A 23,492-nucleotide genomic window follows, 5' to 3' on the forward strand; every position below is an offset into this window, starting at 1 on the left:
TTACAGGCGTGTACCACCACACCAAGCTAATTTTTGTATTTTTAGTACGGACAGGGTTTCTCCATGTTGGCCAGGATGGTCTTGAACTCCTGACCTCAGGTTATCCACCTGCCTTGGCCTCCCAAAGTGCTAGATTACAGGCATGAGCCACTGAGCCCAGCCTAAGAAATACAAAAGAAATACAAAATTTCCACAAACTTTATAGACTAAATTCAAATACAGGTTGAGTATCTCTTATCTGAAATGCTTGGTGCTAGAAGTGTTTCAGATTTCAATTTTTTTTTTAATTTTGGAATATCTGCAGAATACACCCCAGCTGAGCATCTCAAATCCAAAAATCCAAAATCCAAAATGCTCCAAGGACCATTTCCTTTGAGTATCATGTTGGCATTCAAAAAATTTTGGATTTAGGGGGATTTCAGATTTTGAATTTTCAGATTTGGGATGTTCAACCTATATAATAATTGAGTTCAATTTTTTGTAATATAAGTCTACCAGGGAAAAGAATGTAATACTTTCAGGGGTGGATAACATTTCACTTAATTGAGGTTCAAAGCTAAGTGTTCTCTATCATCAAAACTGATTGCAAATGATAATCCATTAATGCTGATCTGTAATGAGATTTTACATATTTGATTTTTTAATGTCTTTTCACAGAGGTAGTTACTGCCAAATACTGATATCAATCCACAGGCATAGGATTTTAATTGAGCATATTCACTAGTTTGAAAGGCATTTATAAAATTCTATTAGATTCTTCTCTTGGCATTTGCCTTTTAGAGTATTATTACATTGGAAGTTAATCACCTCCAATCAAAGACTGAAGCTCTTCAATTATACAGTGAAATGGATTTAGAAACACAGAAATTTCCTTTGCACTTGCCTTGAGGTCTGAAAAATTCTACTGGAACTATAATTTCACCTCGGATAATGCATCTGCTACAAATTTGTGTGGGAATGGCAATCCTGCTTCTTGTTTCCATTTTTATAGCACTTTTAAAAAAAATTACTTGTCATTACAATGTTGTTTTCTAAATGACTTCACCACATTATAGGTTTTGCATATATACATTGTTTTGCCTTGCAATCTTAGGTTGGATTAATTAAGAACCATTATCAAGGCTGTAGCAAAAGCTAATTTCCAAAGCCAGTCAGTATTCAAACACAGTGACTGAAGATGGTCCTTCTCATTTGAAGTATTTCAATCTAGGTTTTGAGCTCAAAATATGACAATAAAACTTTGCCATTGCTAAGCCATCAAACTGCTGTGAGGCAAGTCAAGATAGCTTCTATTCATGATTGAAATTCACATAACTGACAATGGTTAAGTCCATGAGAGCAATGAAGTTCCCTTTGGCCCTACAAAATGACAAATTCAAGTATGTTCTGTGAAGTACCTGTTGTTGAATAATACAATGAATAACCATAGACTGTAAACACCTTACAGTTTCAAAAGTTTTGTACAATTTGTACAACTAAGTCTTTTTCTGTTACATATTTTTACCAGCAGTAGTTACAGTACATCTTAGCAGATTCCACTTCAGGTTGTAGTAAATTGCTGTTTTCTAAACTTCACTGAAAATATTCTCACCTAAAGTTGTTCTGCAAAGACTTTTTATAGAGACTAATTCTTCAGTCACTTCAAGCTCAGCGTGGACAACTCAAACTACAATTGAGCAGTATTGATAACATCTGTCAACTCAACAACAGCCAAGGAAGATCACTTGAAATCATTTGCCTTGTTCTTTAATTGACTACTCATGTTTGTTTTTCTGAATTTTTCTCAATTCTTCAGGCAACTGTTCTTGCTGAAACGTTACTAGTCTTAAGTGTATTTTCCCTGAATACATTTCTTCTGCTGCAGCAATCAAACACAATTTAATTAACTCATAATTGGTAAATGGCTTTCCTTTCTTCACAAACAAGCCACTCAGAAACTTTCTTTGACTGAAGCCCCATTTTCCCTTTTAGTTTTATGGAGCAATTCTGCAATAATATATTCCATTTTAAATTTTCTAATTTTTATGACCATTGCTTTCTGTGAGTTGGGAATATGATGATAAGTAGTTAGTATGGTAATGTCAAATACATATTGTACTCTTTTAGCACAGCTATAACGTCATTGCATAAAAAATACAATGCTTTGCATTTTGATAATAAAATAGTCCACATTCCATTATGTACTAAAAGTGCAACATTCAAAGTCCACTTTTCTTTCCTGGTTTTTACATGATGGGTATGCACGGGTAATAAAAATAAAATAAAATTGTCACAGTACAAAAATACACATGGCACTTAAAAAATGCTGTAAAGTTATAACTGCATCGGTCGTACAACAGTGTGAAATGATGAAATGATTAGTCCTACAAGTGCCTGAAGTGATGAGAGCACCACATACAGTCTGTCACAGCTACTCAATTCTGCTATTGTAGGATGAACGCAGCTAAAGACAGCATGACTGTGTTCCAATAAAAACTGAAATTTGAATTTCATATAAATTTTACATGTCAAAATATTATTCATTTTACTATTGCAATAATTTAAAAATATAAAAGCCAATCATGAGCTGTACAAAGCAGTGGGCAGGACTTGGCTTCCAGGCTGCAGCCATCAATTCCTGCTTTAATTTATACAAGGTCCAACTTGTAAAACAAAACAAGTAAAAATAATCGAGAATAAAAAACAAGGACAGGACCAATAGCTTCAGGCTTAAAAAAATACTATGTGACTGCAAGACAATCTTTTACAAAGTCGATTTTAAACATACAGGTAATACCTATTAAAATGAATTAGTACAATTAAAAACAAAAAGAACCTCTGAAATATATTTTAAAGCAAAAAAAAAATCCCTTTCATAACCACGTCCAGATCTGCCTATTTATTACATAAGTTAAAAATATTCATACATTTGATTTCCTTAAAGAAGTGTTCCAAAGGACTCTTGAAAAAGGTTTCTTATTTTTTTTTTTTTTTTTACTATCTTGCTATTCCTTGGAGTCAGAAAGCATATTTGCTTTCAACTTCTTCCTATTCTTCCACCATCTGCTATATTACTAAATATCACCAAAAACAGTATCAGAAGCTTAAATTTCCTTAATCTGATAAAAAGCATTAACATTTTTTAAAACTACAGCAAACATCATACTTAATGGTAAAATATTAAAAGTTTTTTCCATTAAAATCAGGAACTAGACAAGGATACCTGCTATTCCCACTTCAAGTGAATACTGTACTCAGTCCTAACCCATTTAAGCAAGAAAAATAAAAGAATAAGAATTGGAAAAGAAGAATCAGTGCCATCAGCTCACATTTGTATAACACTTCGCAATTTTTATATGCTTTCATATATAGTAACATTTACTACTTTTAACAGTCCTACCAAAACAAATATTCCTGTTTTCATTTTATTTTTTTGTGGGTACATAGTGGCCGTATATATTTATGGGGTGCATGAGATGTTTTGACATAGGCATACAATGTGAAATAAGCACATCATGAAGAATGCGGTATCCTTCCCCTTGAGCATTCATCCATTGAATTGTAAACAATCCAATTATACTCTTTATTTTAAAATGTACAGTTATTATTGACTATAGTCACCCTATTGTGCTATCAAATACTAGGTCTTACTCATTCTTTCTGTTCCCATTTTATAAATTAAGAAACTGTAAGGTCCAGCTGGGCGCAGTGGCCCATGCCTGTAATCCCAGCACTTTGGGAGGCTGAGGCAGGTGGATCACTTGAGGCCAGGAGTTTGAGACCAGCTTGGACAAAATGGTGAAACCCTGTCTCTATTAAAAATACAAAAAAATTAGCTGGGCATGGTGGCGGGTGCCTGTAATCCCAGCTACTTGGGAGAATGAGGCAAGAGAATTGCTTTAATCCAGTAGATGGATGTTGCAGTGACCTGAGATCGTGCCACTGCACTGCAGCCTGGTCAACGGAGTGAGACTCCATCTCAAAAAAAAAGAAAGAAAGAAAGAAACTGTAAGGTTCAGGGAACTTGTTTGTAGTACAAAAAGATGGCCAGTGTGGCTGGAGCAGAAGTGAACAAAGGAGAGTGAAAGATGAGGTTGAAGAAATAGGAACAAGCTAGAAAGTCAGGATATGAATTCAGATTTCATTCTGGTTGCAATGGGAAGCTATTAGACAATTTTAAGCAAAAGACACACAAGATCTGATTTATACCTTAAAAACAGACTAGTGAAGAAGCAATTGTGCAAGCAAGAGATGATAATGAATTAGAACTGTAGTAGTAAAGAAAGTGAGAACTGGTCAGATTCAAGATAATTTTGGAGGTAAAGATTATATGACTTGCTGGTAATGTGAATGAATATGAAAGAAGAATCAAAATAGCTCCCAGGCTTTTGGTCTTGTGATGGTTAATCGTATATGTCAACTTGATTAGGTCACACAAGGTATCCAGATAATTGGTCAAACATTATTCTGGGTGTCTGTGAGGTTGTTTTGGGGTAAGATTAGCATTTCAATCAGTACACTGAGTAAAGCAGATTGCTCTCCCTAATGAAGTGGCCCTCAGCCAATCAGCTGAAGGCCTGAATAGAACAAAAAGTTTGCTTCTCCCTCCAGTGAGTGAGAACACACCATGCCCGACTCCCTGGAGCTAGGACATCTATCTTTTCCTGCCTTCAGACTCAAACTGAAACATCAGCTCTTTCTGGGTCTTGAACCTGCTAGCTTTCAGACTAGAACTTACACTTACTGGCTCTCTTGGTTCTCAGGCCTTCAGACTTAGATTGGAACTAAACCATTAGCCCTCCTGGGTCTCCAGCTTGCTAACTGCAGATCCTGGGACTTCTCAGTCTCCATAATTGCATGAGCCAATTCCTTATAATATTTCCTATTGGTTCTGTTTCTCTGGAGAACCCTAACTAATGCAAGTTTTAACTATTAGTCATATAGGGTAAACATTTACTGAGATGGAGAAGACAAAGGGAAGAGCAGACATGAGGGAGTGGGAATAAAGGGGAGGAGCAATATTAATTCTCTTTTGGCCATGTTACTTATGAGATGCCTACTAAACTCCTAAGTGGAAATGTCAATTACACAGTTAGGTATACAAGTCTACAGCTGAAGGGAAGAGACTGGACTAAAGACTTAGATTTGGGAATCATTAACAAATAGGCAATATCTGAATCTGTGGAAGTGAATAAAATCACCTAGAGATGTACTGTCTAATGTATTAATAATAGCCAGGAGCCACATGGGGCTATTTAAATTTAAGCTATTTAAAATCCAGTTCTTCATTTACACTAGCCTCATTTCAAGTGCTCAACAGTCACAAATGGCTAGCAGATACCATATTGAACAGTAGATACAGATTATTCTCATCAGAGAAGGTTCTATCAGACAGCACAGACCCAAACAAGTTATCAAAAAAAAAAGAAAGCCAAAGGCAGAATTCTAGTAGAAGAGGTAAAGCAAATAAAACTAAAAAGAAATCACCAGTGAAGTGTTGTCAAAGAAGCTTAAAAAGTTTTCAGAAAAAGAGTGAATAACTGAATTAATTCAAATGCTATTAAGAGATCAAGCTGTATGAGAAAAGAGAGCTGATTACTGGCTTTGACAAGACATAGATAATGAGTGACCTTGAAATGAGCCACTGCAGTAAAAAATGGTGGAAACAAAACCTAAACAAATTATGTTGAGAAGGAATAGGTGGAGGAAAAGAAGAGATAACAACTACAAATAATTTTTTAAAAAATTTTTGTTTTGAACAAGAAAGAGAAATTGGTGGTAGCTTAAAGGAAATGTAGGGTTAGGAGAGGTTTTTTCCCCACATAGTCATACTGAGGCAGAATTATATGCCAATAGGAATAATAAAACATAAAATGATGCAAAAGAGATGATAACTACAGGAGATAACTATAAGAGCAAAGCTCTAGAGATGGCCAGAGTATTTAGAATCCAGAGCATAAATGGCGGTTAGCCATAGATGAGATCAAGGCCAGTCTTACAAAATATAATGAAGGTTGAGACCCTACTGAGTACAGGTAGAGCTAACTTTACATACATTCAGCCCTCCATATGGATTAGTTCAGCACTCATGGAATTAAATCAACCATGGATCAAAAATATTCAGAAAAAATTAAAAATAACAACAATAAAAAATACAAATTTAAAATTAATAAAATATAGCAACTATTTATATAGTATTACATTGCATTAGAGATTACAAGTAATCTACAAATGATTTAAAGTATGCAGGAGGATGTGTAGGTTACATCCAAATTCTATACCACTTTTATTCTCGGAGGGTATTGGGACCAATCCCTCACAGATACTGAAGGACAATTTCACTTGGTGGTGTAGGTAGCTCTCATCTGTTTACATCTATTTTCTGTATAAAGTAAGACTATAGGTTAAGAGTGACCAGGTAGATTTTGTAAGGTTTGTTTGTGACTTTTGATTTATTTGGTTGGTTGGTTGGTTTTAGTTTGGTTAGATTTGATTGTTGGTTTTTGGTAGGAGGCAGGTATTAGTGATTTGAGGAGAAATACAGTAACAAACATCACGCTGACAGAGAAAAAGGTGAATTTACTGGGGAACTATAATAGGACCATAAGGCAGTTTTAAGTACATACTTGATATCTGCAATCATAGATTTAAAATAAGTCTGGTCAGGTGAGCATGTTGTATGATTTTCCTCTAATAAGTTTAGCTGCTTCAATGAGATTAAACCTGTAAATGTATTTAATCAGAATACTGTTTTGCCAGTCATTGATTAGGCATATAATTGTATTTAAAGAGGGTAGGCTTTGACAGATAAGTAGGAAGAGAAGGAGGAGCAAAAGGGTCAAGAGTGTCAGCAAGGAAATAGTCGTTGGGGTAGATTATAGGATCTAATGTGAGCAGAAGAGAAGAGAGGTTGTGAGTGAGGAGGGCAATTTGATAGTCATATATTAATATTTGTACAAACTTTATTTGGATCCTTAGTCAAACAAATAAAATTTTTTTAAAAGCAAATGATACTTATGAGATAACTGAAAAGTTAATATTTTTATATTTAATATTTTATGATATTAAGAATTCTTTTCCAGGTATGAAAATGGAGAGATACATTTGGGATATACTTCAAAATAATATACGGGGTGAAAAAAATGGGTTGAGGTAAAAATGAAACAAGACTCTGTAACAAACCAAGTTTTCCATAAAGATTAATTTAACAAATATAAATTCTCTTTATTTAAAAATGTTTGTTTTGGTCGGGCACCATTGCTCACGCCTGTAATCCTAGCACTTTGGGAGGCAGAGGCAGGCGGATTGCCTGAGCTCAGGAGTTCGAGACCAGCCTGGGAAACATGGTGAAACCCTGTCTCTATAAAAATACAAAAAATTAGCTGGAAGTGGTGGCACGCACCTATAATCCCAGCTACTCTGGAGGCTGAGGCACAAGAATCACTTGACCTGGGAGGCGGAGGTTGCAGTGAGCCGAGATCGTGCCACTGCACTCCTGCCTGGGCGACAGGCTCTTCCTATGCCCCTGACTCTGTCTCAAAAAAAAAAAAAAAGTTTGTTTTGTGTAAAAAAAAATCTAAATGAACAAGATGGAAATAACACAAATTAAAAACAGAACCATCTTGATCATTTATAACCTTTCTCATGCTTTATAATAAACAACTCTTCAATACTTAACACATTATCATTCCAATATCATATTTTACAACCTGTCTTACCAGCACATTCTAAAATAGGTATTTTAAAAAATATTTATTAAAAATTGGAATTAAACTTACTATTTCTTTCTGTTCTCTTGGAAAAGAAGAAAATAATTACTGTTCTTATGCTCCAGATGCTAAAAGGGAAGCAAAATTCAGAAACAAAAAACATCATTAGAAAAAGCGAATTAGAAGCCATGTAAAATGAAAACATATATTTCCAATTAGAGTTAGGTACATTGTTTCCCTTTATATACAGAAAACTAAAAAGCGTTTATTTCTGCCAGAGAACATCAGAACCTGTGCTTTCAAAGGAGGAGTTCTCAACCTAAAGTCCACAGACCTTCTGATGATCCCCTTAAATTACAAAATTACCTTTGTGTGCATAAGTGCATTTCTCTGGAAAGACCATTGCTTTCATCAGCCTGAAAGGAATCTATGCACCCCGCAAAAGATTGAGAATATTAGAATCCCTTACTAAGTAAGCATCAATTCCAAAAACTTAATTTGTCTATTCCCACACATTAAGGAAAAATGCTTTTACAAATGTAAGAGCATTATACAAATGTAAGTTGCCACTCCTTCCCTATTATTTAACAATAGAGGGACAGTCTCTACTCTAAGAGATTAAGCTACCTGAAGGAAAAATAAACAAAAACCTTACCTTCAAATAAATACTTGATGAGTAAAATTAGCTAAATATCTCCTCCCAAAGATTTTATAAGGATAATTCTTTAGGCCTTGCATTAGTAAGACATCAAATGAATTGAAAGAATTAAAAGAAACTAAATGAATAATCCTCATCACAAACTTGTCAGGGTCATCTCCTAAATTCAATGTAAACATAGCAAAATACCTCTTCTCCATAGAACCTGGCAGAAATAAGTACATAAGGCTGGGCACGGTGGCTCACGCCTGTAATCCCAGCACTTTGGGAGGCCAAGGCAGGTGGATCTCCTGAGGTCAGGAGTTTGAGACCAGCCTGGCCAACATGGTGAAACCCCATCTCTACTGAACATACAAAAACTAGCCAGGCGTGATGGCACACGCCTGTAGTCCCAGCTACTTGGGAGGCTGAGGCAGGAGAATCACTTGAACCCAGGAGGCAGAGGTTGCAGTGAGCCAAGATCATGCCACTGCACTCCAGCCTAGGCGGCAGAGAAAGACTGTCCCAAAAAAAAAAAAAAAAAGAAAGAAAGAAGTATATAAACATTATTCATCATCTTAAAACATACATTGTATCTCTTGTAAAAAAAAATTTGATTGTACTGGAAATAAATTCAGAATATAAGTATGAAAATTAGTTCTTCACTCTGAAATACAGCATTTGCTATTTTGGGGAGTTAACCTGCAAGTAGTCACCAGTGATCCCTGTCTCTTGGTATTCACACCATTGTGTAGTCCTCTCTCACCAGTGTTGGTCTGTGCCACCAACAGCATGGCAGAAGTGATAGTGTATCACTTCAAGATTAAGTTATAAAGGACTGCAGCTTCCATTTTGGGCCTCCTCTTTCACTTGTCTTTCTCTCTCCTGGATTACAAGCTCTGTGAGAAGACAGCTGTCATGATATGAGAACAGTCAAAGAAGTCTATGAAAAGGTCCATGCAGTGAGGAAGAAAGGTCTGTGGTAAACACTCAGCAAAGAACTGATGCCTGCTAACAGCCACCTGTGTGAATTTAGGAGTAGATTAGGGAAAAATCAGCCAAAGTGAGTAGGATCACACCAGATATCTTATTGGGATTTGAATTCAGAATGCATTTTGGTGGTGGCAAGACAATTAGCTTTGGCATGTAAATTCCTGGATTATACAAAGAAAAAGGAAACTAAACATAGGCTTGCCAAAAAACAGCCTATATGAAAAGAAAAAGACCTCAAGAAAAAAGCAAAAGGAACACAAGAACAGAATGAAGAAAGTCAGGGGAATTGCAAATGCCTACCGAGCAGTGAGCTGGAGATTGGATAACAGCAGAGGGAGTAAAGATCTGCAATGACTTTATCTACAGTGATTGTATGGATTTAGTTAAGCCTTGAGATGACTGTGGCCCCTACCAACAGCTTAACTGCAATTTACCTAAGAACAAAAGATCCTGAGATAGAACTACCCAGCTAAGCAGCTCTTAACATTCCTGCCCCTCAAAAGCTGAGACATAATAAACATCTGTTGTTTTAAGCTACTAAGTTTTGGGGCAATCTGTTACACAGGAATAGATAATACACTTTTTTTTAATATTGTGATGATTTATTTTTGTGACATGAAAACACCAAATAACTAGCACCAGATTCCTATTTGGCATTTGGACAATTACCTAAAAGTACAAAAAACACCAGGCTTTGTCCTTACCAAGGGAAGGGAGATAAGAGAATATAGGTTAAGCATAATGCCCATAACCCTCAAGGATTCCGCAATAATAAAAAAGTCTCGTATCACTTCTCCAGTGCAAACCCACTGAAATAGTAGCAGGCTGGAAGGAGGACTTTTAAAAAGCATACAGAGAAAGAAAACGGGGAAAAAAAGATGGAATTGCAGAGATAGTGGCTAGAATTCTGTAGGAAATGTATAAATTTTCTTAAATGAGTAGATACTTTTTAAAAAGCATATATAATTGTCAGTGTAAATACTACAAAAATTGAAATATACTCTCTTCAAAATAAAACTCACTAAATCCTCTCTGTGGACAATAAATTCCTCTGGTTTTTATCAGAATTCCTCCTAGATAACATAAGCTATCAAACAACAGACATTTCCATATGTCAAGTCTTCAAGACTTCAAAAGGTAAAACAGAATTTATTTTTCTTTAGGGCTAAATTAAATGAAATTCTTTGGTATTTTTTGTTATTTTTGTAGAGACAGGATCTCACCATGTTGCCCAGACTGGTCTTGAACTCCTGGCCTCAAGTGATTCTCCTGCCTCTGCCTCCCAAAGCACTGGGATTACAGGCATAAACCATCATGCCTAGCCCTTTTATATTTTTAAATAAAATTTAGAAAAAGAACTAAAGTACTTCAGGACTCTGTTTTAGTTATCCCAACAAAGGTTTTGCTCTCCCAATAATTAAAAATAATGTATTAAAATATAGCAACATATTTTGTGAAGATATTGACGATATTAAGGATATTATTACTAACCTCTAGTTAGAGAATAGTGGCATAAGATCCACTTCCCCCTTCTCTTCATAAAAATAATCCAAACAACAAGGAGAATAAAAATAAAACTGCAAACTACTTCTCTGGTAAAACAGAGATATAACTAAAACTCAACCATCAGAATATGTGGAGGCACTCTCAAAAGCAATGGAGATTATTACACAGGGGCTCCAAAAAGTGGAAGCAAAACAAGAAAACTGCATATTTCACAAAGAGGTAATAAGGTAAACTTTTCCAAGTGTAAAACTTAAAACCCATGTTTGTAACAATGAGAACAAGATGCACAGCTACAGGCAGACACTCCTCAGTTTGGTTCCAATAAAAAAAGAGAGAAGGCAGGAATTAAAAAGAAATTATTCAGAAGTGCACTATTTACAAAGAGTATTCTGTTCCTATGGCAAGGGGGTTGGGGGGAAGTTTTGTATTGTGAAAGAAATACAATTGCCTAGCCCCACTGGCTGGGAAAAAATAACAGCTAAACAAATTCACACACAAAATCCTGAATCATAAGGAAAATTCTAGTTAGCCTGGAACACAGGAAGATATGCCTTTATACCAACACGACCTATAAATAACTGACCCAAAGTAAATGTACCACAAAGTAAAAGGTTTTAATTATAAAAACCAAAAGCAAAAAAAATTGTTTCAAGACAGACCAACTTCTTTCATATCAACAAATATTAAGTGGGCTAAACTCACTAAGGTAAAAGAAAAAGACCTTCACACTGTAACACCAGACAAAACCCAACTCTATAATGTAAATGGATGCATCTAAAACTAAGTATCTTTTAAGGTTGAAAATAAAACCATAGACAAAGGTATAGCAGGCAAATGCAAACAAAACAAGGGTTGTGATCATAAAACCCCAATGGTTAAACTTTTTTTAAAAAACCTTTAAACTAAAAGAAAGTCACATTATAAAGTTAAAAAAAAAAATGTGATTCCTTTCCAAAAAACGTTGACTGAGCACATCCACAGGCAAAAACAAAAAACAAAAATTAAACCACCTTGACCTGAACCTTGATTAACTCAAAATGGATTATGAAATTAAATGTTAAAAAAAAAAAATTTAAGGTATAGAAAAAAAAAGTAAGAGAAAATCTTCACAACCTGTAGCAAGGTAAAGTGGTCTCAGAATTGACATGAAAAACACAATTAATAAAGGGAAAAACTGATAACTTGAACCTCATCAAAATTAAAAACTTTTGCTCTGCAAAAGACCCTGTTGGGAGATGAAAAGACAAGACAATCTAAAGATTAGGGGGAAAAAAAGCTGTAAACCATATATATCCAACAAAGAACTTTTTTTTTTTTTGAGACGGAGTCTAGCTCTGTTGCCCAGGCTAGAGTGCAGTGGGGCGCGATCTTGACTCACTGAAACCTCCGCCTCCTGGGTTCATGTGATTCTCCTGCCTCGGCCTCCCTAGTAGCTGGGATTACAGGCACGCGTCACCATGCCTCGCTAATTTTTGTATTTTTCAGAGACGAGGTTTCACATGTTGGTCAGGCTGGTCTTGAACTCCTGACTTCATGATCTGCCCGCCTCAGTCTCCCAAAGTGCTGGGATTACAGGCGTGAACCACTGCACCCGGCCAGAACTTTTATCTATAATATATGAAGAACTCTCAAAATTCAACAGTTAAAAAAACTAATAATCCAATTAGAAAATTGGACAAAAGTCATGAATAAACATTTTGCTAATAAAGATACATATTAATGGCAAATAACCACATGAAACATCCTCAGCCATTAGGGAAACAAAAAATTAAAACCACAATGAGATATTGCTACATACCTATCAGAACAGTCAAAATAGAAAAGAGTGATTAACACCAAATGCTGGCAAGGATGAAGAGAAACTAGATCACTCACACCTACCTAGTGGAAATGTAAAATGGTATAGCTACTCTGAAAAAAAGTTTAGCAATTTCTTATAAAACTAACATGTACTTACCATATACTCCAGCATTTGCACTCTTGGGCATACACCCCAGAGAAATGACTTATGTTCATACAAAAACTTGTACAAAATATTCATTGCAGCCTTATTTGTAATAGCAAGAACTGGAAACAATGCAAATGCTCTTCAGCTGGTGAATAGTTAAACTATGATACATTAATACCATGGAATACTGCTCAGAGAAAGAAAGGAATTATTGACACACTGAACAACTTGGATGGATCTCAAGAATATACTGAGTGAAAAACGCCAATTTCAAAATGTTACATACTATGTGAGTCCATCTTATAACATTCTTGAAATAACAAATTTGTGGAGACAGAAAACAGATTAATGGATGGCAGGGGTTAGGAATGCGGAAAGTGGAGGAAGATGTGTATGGCTATAAAGGAGTAGCAAAAAGGAGCCTTGTGGTGATGGAACAGTTCTGGATCTGAATTGTGCGGTGGTTACACAAAGCTACAGGCGATAAAATTGCACAGAAATATAAAACCCACTCAAAGGAATTCATATAAAACTGATGAACTCTGAATAGGCTCCGTGGATTGAAGCAATGTCAATTTCCTGGCTTAATATTTGTTGATATGAAAGACGTTGGTCTGTTTTGAAACAACTTTTTTTGCTTTTGGTTTTTATAATTAATTAAAACCTTTTACTTTGTGGTACATTCACTTTGGGTCAGTTATTTATAGGTCGTGTTGGTATAAAGGCATATCTTCCCGTTTTCCAGGCTAACTAGAAATTTACTACAGTAGTTCTCCCTTAATCTCAGTGATATATGTTCCATGACCCCCAGTGGATGCCTGAAACCATGGACAGTACCAAATCCAACATATACTAAGTTTTTTCCTATAAATACATACCATGTAGGTATAGGGATTTAATTTATAAATTAGGCATAGTAAGAGATTAACAAAAATAACTAATAATAAAATAGAACAAGTATAACTATACTGCAATAAAAGTTATATGAATGTAGTCTCTCTCGAAAAACTAATATTTTCAGACTGCAATTGACCACAGTTAACTGAAACTGCAGAGGGCAAAACTATGGATGAAGGAAAAACTACCATATAGATGTTACCATTGGGGTGAGCTAGGTGAGGGTACCTGCAACCTGCCTGTACATTTTTTTCTGCAACTTACTGTTAATCTATAATTTTTTCAAAATTAAAAATTCTTCTTAAAGGATGTGTTTCTAACGAAGATATAACAGAAATACCCATGTAAAGAGCAAAGCATCAACATTTGTAAAGCAAAACTAGAAGAAATACGGGGAAAAGCAGAAATACACTGTTATTAGGATGTAGAAGATCTATATAGCATAAGGTAGTTCTCATTGCTAATATTCAACTCTGTATAACTGAAAAAAGAGAATACATCTTCAAATGTTCATGAAACACTTAAAAAATTGGCCAAATAACATTCCACCAAAAAAACTCAATAAACTTAAATCAGAAATATTTAACATTCTCTGAGAGCAATACAATAAAACTAGAAATTTTAACTAAGACAATAAATAAAAATATAAATATATATTTGCCATCCATAAATAACTGATAGATTATAACTCCCTCCAAAAAAACATCATATCTTGAAAATAACCAAAATAAATCACTATGTATCAAGACCCATGGCATAAAACTAAAGCAGTGGTCAGAAAATGTCATAGTTTCAAAAACATGTACAGTGTTATTGTTTCAACAAATAAAGAATGAAAATAAAGAAAAGTTTTTGGATGTTTTTATAAAATGATCACAAAACTGAAAGCAGAAATTTTTCCTGGAATTCAAGAATGATTCAATATTTAATATAATCCCTTTGTATCAAGAGAAGATGAAAAATCATATGGTATCTCCATAGATAATGAACTGTATTTAACAACATTCAACAACCTTTCTTGATTAAAAAAAACTAAATACAGTAAGAACAGGTAGAAAATTCCTTAACATGATCAAATATATCTGTCTCAATCCAAAAGTCAGAATAATGCCCAATGGTGAAACATTAGAAGAATTCCCAAAAAAACACATCAAGTATGTCCACTATTTTCTCTACAACTTAACATTGTCCTGAAGGTATTAGCTAACATAATTAGCCAAGAGAAAAAAAATAAAAAATATCAAACAAGAAAAAAAAAAAACAAACGAAAAAAACAAAAGGAGGTGGTAAAATTATTGCTATTTACAGATTATATGATTGCATACTTGGAAGCTCTCAAAGAATCAACCAAAAAAATTATTACAAACAATAAGACTATTATTGTAGTTGAATATAAAATTAGTATAGAAAATCACTAGAAATACCATTTGACCCAGCCATCCCATTACTGGGTATATACCCAAAGGATTGTAAATCATGCTGCTATAAAGACACAAGCACACGTATGTTTATTGTGGCACTATTCACAATAGCAAAGACTTGGAACCAACCCATTTGTCCAACAATGATAGACTGGACTAAGAAAATGTGGCACATATACACCACGGAATACTATGCAGCCATAAAAAATGATGAGTTCATGTCCTTTGTATGGACATGGATGAAACTGGAAACCATCATTCTTAGCAAACTATCGCAAGGACAAAAAACCAAACACCGCATGTTCTCACTCATAGGTGGGAATTGAACAATGAGAACACATGGACACAGGAAGGGAAACATCACACACCAGGGCCTGTTGTGGGGTGGGGGGAGCAGGGAGGGATAGCATTAGGAGATATACCTAATGTTAAATGACGAGTTAATGGGTGCAGCACACCAACATGGCACGTGTAAACATATGTAACAAACCTGCACATTGTGCACATGTACCCTAAAACTTAAAGTATAATTAAAAAAAAAAAAATCACTACATTCCTATATACAATCAGTTGAGAAATAAAAAATTTCTTTGACTCACATTCATCAAAGCATTTGTTGTTCTTTTCTGAATGAAATTAATGCTACTTGGAATATTACTACAGCATGAATTTTTGTTCAGTAATATCTAATGACTGGAACTAAAAAAATATGTGTCCTAGCAGGAAATACTTGGAACTTCAATATAATAGAATCACACAGAGGACAGCGTAAACATTTTAAAAGCTCAATATTCAGTGTTTTACTGTACTCAAACTAAAAATGCTAAAAGTTGAAATATAGCAGAATATCTCAATTCAATCAATATAACTAAACCTTCCTTACTTTGGGTAAAGAATTAACATTCTATAAACCTGGTGGTTTTTCACCAACCTTCATATATGCAACATTATTTTGTTACCTCTTTCACCCTTTCTGCCAAACTTAAGTGTTCTTTTTCAAACAACCATATCATAAGCCCTATCCAATTTATCAAAATGTTTTTAGATGAGATTTAGCAATATATAAATCTAACGATGAGCTGGGCGTGGTGGCTCATGCCTGTAATACCAACACTTTGTGAGGCTGAGATGGGCAGATCACTTGAGGCCAAGAGTTTGAGACCAGCCTGGTCAACATGCTGACACCCCATCTCTACTAAAAAAAAAACAAAAAACAAAAATTAGATAGGGATGGTGGTGAATGCGTATAATCCCCACTACTCAGGAAGCTGAGGCACAAGAATTGCTTGAGCCTGGGAGGCAGAGGATGCAGTGAGGCAAGAGTGCACCATTACACTCCAGCCTGGGCAACAGAGTAAGACTCTGTCTCCAAAAAAAAAAAAAAAAAAAAAAAGCTAAAGATGAATTTATATACAGGTCTTAATATTTATAACTATGTTGACTTCTTTGTCAGCTTATTTAACCACCAAAGACTTCAGCAATAATTACCTTCATGTTTAGGCAAAATAGTAACAATGATTTATTTTGGTGTAAAAAATAAGAATCAAGTATTTCTTGCTTTTGTTTTTTGGGGCATACAACTCAAAACCATTTTTCCTTCCAAATGTCTTCTTTATTATATATAAAAGCCATATCTAAAAATTCCTTTTGAGGTTATTTTTGAGTCTGTCGCCCAGGCTGGAGTGCAGTGGCGTGACCTCGGCTCACTGTAAGCTCTGCCTCCCGGGTTCACGCCATTCTCCTGCCTCAGTCTCCCAAGTAGCTGGGACTACAGGAGCCCACCACCGTGCTGGGCTAATTTTTTTTGTATTTTTAGTAGAGATGGGGTTTTACCGTGTTAGCCAGGATGGTCCCGATCTCCTGATCTCGTGATCCGCCCGCCTGGGCCTCCCAAAGTGCTGGGATTACAGGCGTGAGCCACCACGCCTGGCTGAAAGACACTTGTATTCTTACTAGTGTATCATGAAATAAACATTTAACTTTCTTCAAAAGGTTACAAATTATGTTTGTCAACCTAGCTGGATTGAGGAAATACCTAACATGTGCTACTTGTGGGGAGAGAGAGGAGGCATGAAAATTGTATAAGAACAAATCCCTATCCTTAAATGGTTTTCAATTTAAGTGGAGATACAAGAAGAGAAATAGGAATATGACCACTTTCCTCAATTCCCTTGCTTAAATTTCTTCCCCAACAACCCCATTTTGAGAGGCAAAAACAAATAAAAAAATTATGGCTAACTCCTCAATATCTTATGATGATGATCAGTCTCTAAAATTACAGAGAATGAAATGTCTAGAAAGTTATAATTCGTAAAAATAAGGTATCCGAAAGTAAAAGTCTACAAGACTTTTACTTAGTTAACATAGTTAACTAAGCATTAGTTAAAGCATTAGTTAACATAGAAATAAAACTTAATGGTTGCTGACTTAGAAAATGAACCAACTCCCAAGGTAATGCATGTTTGCTAGCATAATGCAGAAATACAAAATTGTAACTTTACGTAACCCAAACCTTCCCTCACTACGGTGTGTAGCCTTAATGACTCCTACAAAATAAATTTGGCATTTATATTATGATTTAAGTTTCAGTAATAGTTGAAAAGATCAAGGGAGGTAAATATACTATTGAATCTGAAAGGCCAAAAAACAGTATGTGGAATTATATTAAACTCCTCCATATTACATTCTGAAGTGAAAATATAATAAAATTTCAAAGGATATTAGAGTATTGATATTCTACCATAAAGAATAATTTTGGAATAGTTATACAATATATGTTCAGTCCTGATCCATGACCTTTCCAGTAAAAGCATTTGGGAAACTGGGAATGTGTAGACAGCAGTCACTTTTTACAGATACCAGGTAGATTTCTAAACTATATAATCAATGTACACAGTGTTGAGCAAAACAACATACTTTATTGCCCCTTTTGCCTCTAAGTCTTTAAGTAAATCCGAGTCCAGCCCTCAAAACTGTTTGCTATAATTTGGATATTTGACCCTCTAAACCTCATGTTGAAATTTGTCCCCCAGTGTTGGAGGTGGGGCCTAATGGGAGTTGTTTGGGTCATGGGGGCGGATCTCATGAACAGATGAATGTCCTCCCTGGGGCATGGCGAGAGTTTGCCCTCTATTAGTTCCTGAGAGAGCTGGCTGTTAAAAAGAAACTGGCACCTCCCCTATCTCTTGCTTTCTCTCTCACCAAGTGATCTCTGCATATGCTGGCTCCCTGTCACCTTCTGCCAAGAATGAAGCAGCCTGAGGCCCTCACCAGATGCAGATGCTGGTGCCATACTTCTTGTACAGTCTGCAGAACCATGAGCCAAATAAACCTCATTTCTTTATAAACTACCCAGCCTCAGGTATTCCTTTATAGCAACACTAAACAGACTAAGACACTGTTTCCCAAAGAAAAAAGTCCAGGGATAAGCTCACATTACACACAAAAGGCAAAAACTCACATTACATACATAAGAAAATGTCCTGTGTTAAGTCTTCTTTCTTTTTACCACAACATCCACTTTCACATTGTTTTATTTCATGTTTTTTGATTGTCATTGATCAGAAGGACAATGCTATTCTTTGTTGGATAACCGGTCTGTGCTTCAAAAAGTGAAAAGCTCACTGAAATAGAAGCTACAACAGCTGAGAACGAGGTTACAAATATCAATGAGATGAAGTGAAAAATGGCTCTGAAGCTAAACAAGCCAAGATATACTAGATGCAGGTGATGCAGAAAAATCAGAAGGACACAGTAAGGATAAGAAAGCTTCATACCCAAAATATCAGAAAGACTGAATTGAAGAAATTACATTTTTAAAGAAATGAAGTTTTCCTGCTTCTAAAGAACAATTAGTATATAATTTATTTGCCCCCCAAAAAACTGTTATGAATCATAATAGCAAACCTAGATCATAGTTTTTGGATAGCCATTAGAATTAACACAGTAGAGTTCCCTATCAGACATTCTGTTACAACTAGATACAAGTCTTTTATGATCAAAAAATCAATCTTTATATGGAAATATATGTAAAGTGCATTTTTGAGTATTTAAAAGTGCTTAAATTTACTAAACATCTCATACTTATTTTGTAATTTTCTTTCCTCTCCTCTTATGAAAAAAGATAAGGGAAACAAGGAAAAGGGGCTCACAATTATAAAATCCACTACTTCTGGGATAAAAGCATTCCAAAAGATTTCAAAAAATGAAAATAAAGAAAGTAGCAGAGATAATTATTTTGCAATATTATGAAAGCACTCAATTTCAGCTCTTGTAGCTACATACGAACTTATAATTTTACAAGCTTCAGGAGTTTCAAATTGAAAATATGCCCTGCACTAAAGACTAAACAAACACATTTTTTTATAGTAGTATTCAGACTGAGGCAATGCCCCTATTAAATGCTCCCATAGCATTTTACACTTCTGTTTATAACATTCATCATACTCATTACTTAATGTTTGCAGTCTAAGATATACAGTCAGAGAATTTTGTATTTTTATGTACCATACACCATTATAATCCAATGTCTAAACAACTGGTACCCATAAATGCTTGTTGACTGAATAAACAAACTTTTTATTAAATTGTCTCTCAAAATTCTCAGTCATGATACGCCTCCTATACAGTGCTATATTATAAAATATTTCTAAAATAAGGGTCAATTGCTTTATAGCAGTGACCATATAGCAGTAAAACGAAGGGAAGAGAGTTGAGGTGAATATATTCAGAATAATTTGAGCAGTTATTCTTTCGTTTTTACAAACCCTGCCCCACTTGCCATTACCCACTACTCCATGCCCAGTGCCCTTCGGGGAGCATGGTCATCTACTAGAAAATCATAAAACATTGCCATATAGAGCAATTATTACTCATATTACTAGGTAATATTCCTCAGGTATATTGGATTACAAATGAAGGTTTAGAACAATTGTTCTACTAAAAAAATCTTTTCAAATTGTGAAAGAAATTCAAACTCAATCAGATATTACCATTTAATAATAAAGAGACCGAATATACATATTAGATATACATTAAGACTCTCTAGTCAGAAAAGGAAAAGATCAACAAAAAGAATAATTTACTTACATCAATGGAAAAGCAAAAAATGGGAGTGTCATGGCAAGTCTTGCTGTAAATTCATCAGGAAGATACCACAAATATACAATTAAGCATGTAAACAGATAGAGAACTGAGGAATACAGAATTAATCTTCCAACCCATAATTTTTGTAATCTCTGATTTTTTTCCCTAAATTCTTCCAATGCTTGAATTTCCTGTTAAGAGAAAATTATTCCATGTTAGTAAATTTCAAACTTCATAAAGAAATTAAAATGTTAAAAAATTTTAGCAGGAAAGATATTTAAGAAAAAACTCTTATTTAAAGTTCAGTAAAGCATAATATTCTAACAGTTTAAAACAAAACATAATATGAAAAAGAAAACTAAAAATGAAGTTAAAAATGTATAATGCTTATTCTAACATCATTTTTACAATGCAAAGTTAGTTACTATTTTTAAACTATCAAATTGGCAAAGATTCAGGGAATGAAATTGGTATCGGCAATAATATTTGTTGAGTCAAATAAGTAATAATTCCTCCTATAAAAGGCATTTAAAAAATCTGGCAATAAGAAAAATAATTAATAAAAATTAAAACAGTAACCCATCTATTTATCACTCTCAATATTCCCAGAAAATAATCATTTTTGATAATAGTATATAAAAAGCTGTGAAAATTTTGTAGACTGATAAAAACTATTGTACAGTATCTCATCTATTTTGTCCTACCTGTAACACTGATTTACACCACACTACAGATCTAATTTCATTCTAACTGGCTCTATTACTTGAAACAGACTTCTTAAGTCACGGATAGACTTTGGATTTTTTGAGATCACATAATATTAAAGTTCTCAGACTCACTCTATATCATTTCTAAATTCCCATACCAGATTTGGTCTCCAAAATAATATATACTACAATAATATTTACTTAATACCTAAAATGAATTAAAATACCTCACAGCCAAAGAACATACCTTATCTATACTTTCTAGAACTTCTACAGTTGAAGGTTTTGTCTGTTATACAAACAGAAACAAGAGACAGCATTAAAACTTATCACAAACCTTTACATTTTGATATAATCATTAAAGAACATTTATTTCAAAATTAAATTTTCTCAAATCTTGTCAAATATGCATTCTTGTTTATAACTAAGATTTATTTAAATAAAAATTATAATTGCAAATAGAACTACGTAAGATTAAAGAAATAAGCATTTCCCTACTTAACTGTTTTAATCCTAGAAAGACTTTTAATTCTGATAGCTCAATTTTTACCATTCTTAACCTCAATAGAACACACCGTTCTAGAAAGAAACAAATTTTGGCCACGCACGGTGGCTCACGCCTGCACTTTGGGAGGCCAAGGTGGGCGGATCACTTAGGGTCAGGAGTTTGAGACCAGCTTCGCCAACTGGTCTACTAAAAATCCAAAAATTAGCTGGGCGTGGTGGCATGCGCTTGCAATCCCAGCTACTCAGGAGGCTGAGGCACGAGAATTGATTGAACCCGGGAGCCAGAGGTTGCAGTGAGCCGAGATCGCACCACTGCACTCCAGCCTGGGTGACAGAGCAAGACTCCATCTCAAAAAAAAAATTAAATTAAATTAAAAAATTTAAAAAACACACGTTTTCCTCCAAAAAAAATTCTTAGGAATGATTACTCAAAAGAATTAACACATTGAAAAAAATTACAGACTAAAAATGGTCTGATTTGCTATTGCTAAAAGTTCACTTAAGACTCTGGAGGTCAAAATCAACAGGTTATCTTCTTTCTAAATTCCTAAAGTACTTTTTGCAGATCAGATTTTAAAAGGACATCTAAGAATACTTCATTATAGCAAAGCTTGTTTGCCAATGATATTTTTTATACATCTAGAATGAAAACCAGCCAAAATCACTCATAAAACACTTGAAAAAATATTTACCAATTACATACTCAACAATCCAAGAGGGTAATGAATATCAGTTCATTGTAGTTTCCATAAGAGTTGTTAACATTAGGGTTAACCATATGAAACTGACATTTTGCTAAGTCCAAGCAGTTGAATACTGGCAATTTCATATGGTTCAACCTATTATGAAAGACAAAACAAGAAGAGATAAATTTGATCCTTGGGCAGATTATTATAAGGTCATAACAGGGTCAATATAATGCTGATCCAAAACAAGGCTGTTCCAGCAATACCCCAAAACCTAAATTGTGTACCAAGTATAGTTAGACTCTATTATTATGGTAATAAGGAGTAAAAAAAAATAAGTAGTTTATCCTAGACTACCTTATCTCCTCTTACTTTTGAAAAGAGCATTTATATAATTTTTTTTTCTTTTTCTTGAGACAGAGTCTAGCTCTGTCGCCCAGGCTGGAGTGCAGTGGCACAATCTCGGCTCACTGCAACCTTCACCTCCTGGATGGAAGCGATCCTGCCTCAGCCTCCCGCGTAGCTGGGATTGCAGGCGCCCACCACCATGCCCAGCTAATTTTTGTATTTTTAGTAGAGACGGGGTTATATAATTTATACAATTCATATTTTCGAGCTGTAACTTTGAGATACTTCCTCTAAAAGCTTATCCAATAAAATCAAACTGCATTTCTAATTTTGTTTAACCTATAATTTCTAAAAGCACAGGCAGTGTGACTTTAGTCAATATTTATGATAAGCTTCAAGTAAAAAGATACAGTCTGTAAAAAACAAGTCTTGTATAGAATTTTTTTTTTTTTTTTTTTTTTTGTGAGACTGAGTCTTGCTCCGTCACCCAGGCTGGAGTGCAGGGGCACAAGCTTGGCTCACTGCAACCTCCACCTCCTGGGTTCAAGCCATTCTCCTGTCTCAGCCTCCCGAGTAGCTGGGATTACAGGCGCGCAACACTACGCCCAGCTAATTTTTGTATTTTTAGTAGAGACGGGGTTTCACCATGTTGGCCAGGCTGGTCTTGAACTCCTGAACTCATGATCTGCCCGCCTCAGCCTCCCAAAGTGCTGGGATTATAGATGTGAGCCACCACACCCGGCCTAGAATACTTACTTTCAACTACCTTTCAAATAAGCTTGAAACTTAGGAAGTATAAGAAAACAAGATAGCCATTTGCACACAAATACAGAAATACAGAAATAAAAATAATTCATACATCCAAGTGAAATAATTCTGTTAAACAGAGGCATTGGACACCTACAGAACAAATGGAAGTATTAAAATAAAAAAATAGAAAAGTAATTCAAAAGAGAAGAAAAAAGTTAAGGAAAATAGCAAACTACTATTCAAGGCTATAATCAAAGGAGACTTTCACAAATAGCTTTATGTGACACTTTTATATTAGACTCAAGAACTAGCTGTAAAG

General features: G+C 34.8%; 1 protein-coding gene across 10 annotated transcripts in view; it reads right to left on the bottom strand.

The window, feature by feature from the left end:
* LNPK (lunapark, ER junction formation factor) overlaps positions 1-23,492 on the bottom strand; it is a 78,939-nt gene that overhangs the window by 48,171 nt on the left and 7,276 nt on the right. For 5 of the 10 annotated variants that reach the window (XM_006712783.3, NM_030650.3, XM_005246878.5 and 2 more), the window contains exons 3-5: positions 21,130-21,171; positions 20,179-20,366; positions 7,758-7,816 (exon numbers count right to left, since the gene is read on the bottom strand). In XM_006712783.3, coding sequence (XP_006712846.1) covers positions 7,758-7,816; positions 20,179-20,366; positions 21,130-21,171 — 289 coding nt within the window. Of the gene's footprint in view, positions 1-7,757; positions 7,817-20,178; positions 20,367-21,129; positions 21,172-22,081; positions 22,229-23,492 lie in introns of all 10 variants that reach the window. The other 5 variants (NR_130941.2, XM_047445937.1, XM_005246879.5 and 2 more) reach the window with 4 other exon arrangements.

Source organism: Homo sapiens, chromosome 2 (assembly GCF_000001405.40).
Source record: "Homo sapiens chromosome 2, GRCh38.p14 Primary Assembly".
Taxonomy (NCBI): domain Eukaryota; kingdom Metazoa; phylum Chordata; class Mammalia; order Primates; family Hominidae; genus Homo; species Homo sapiens.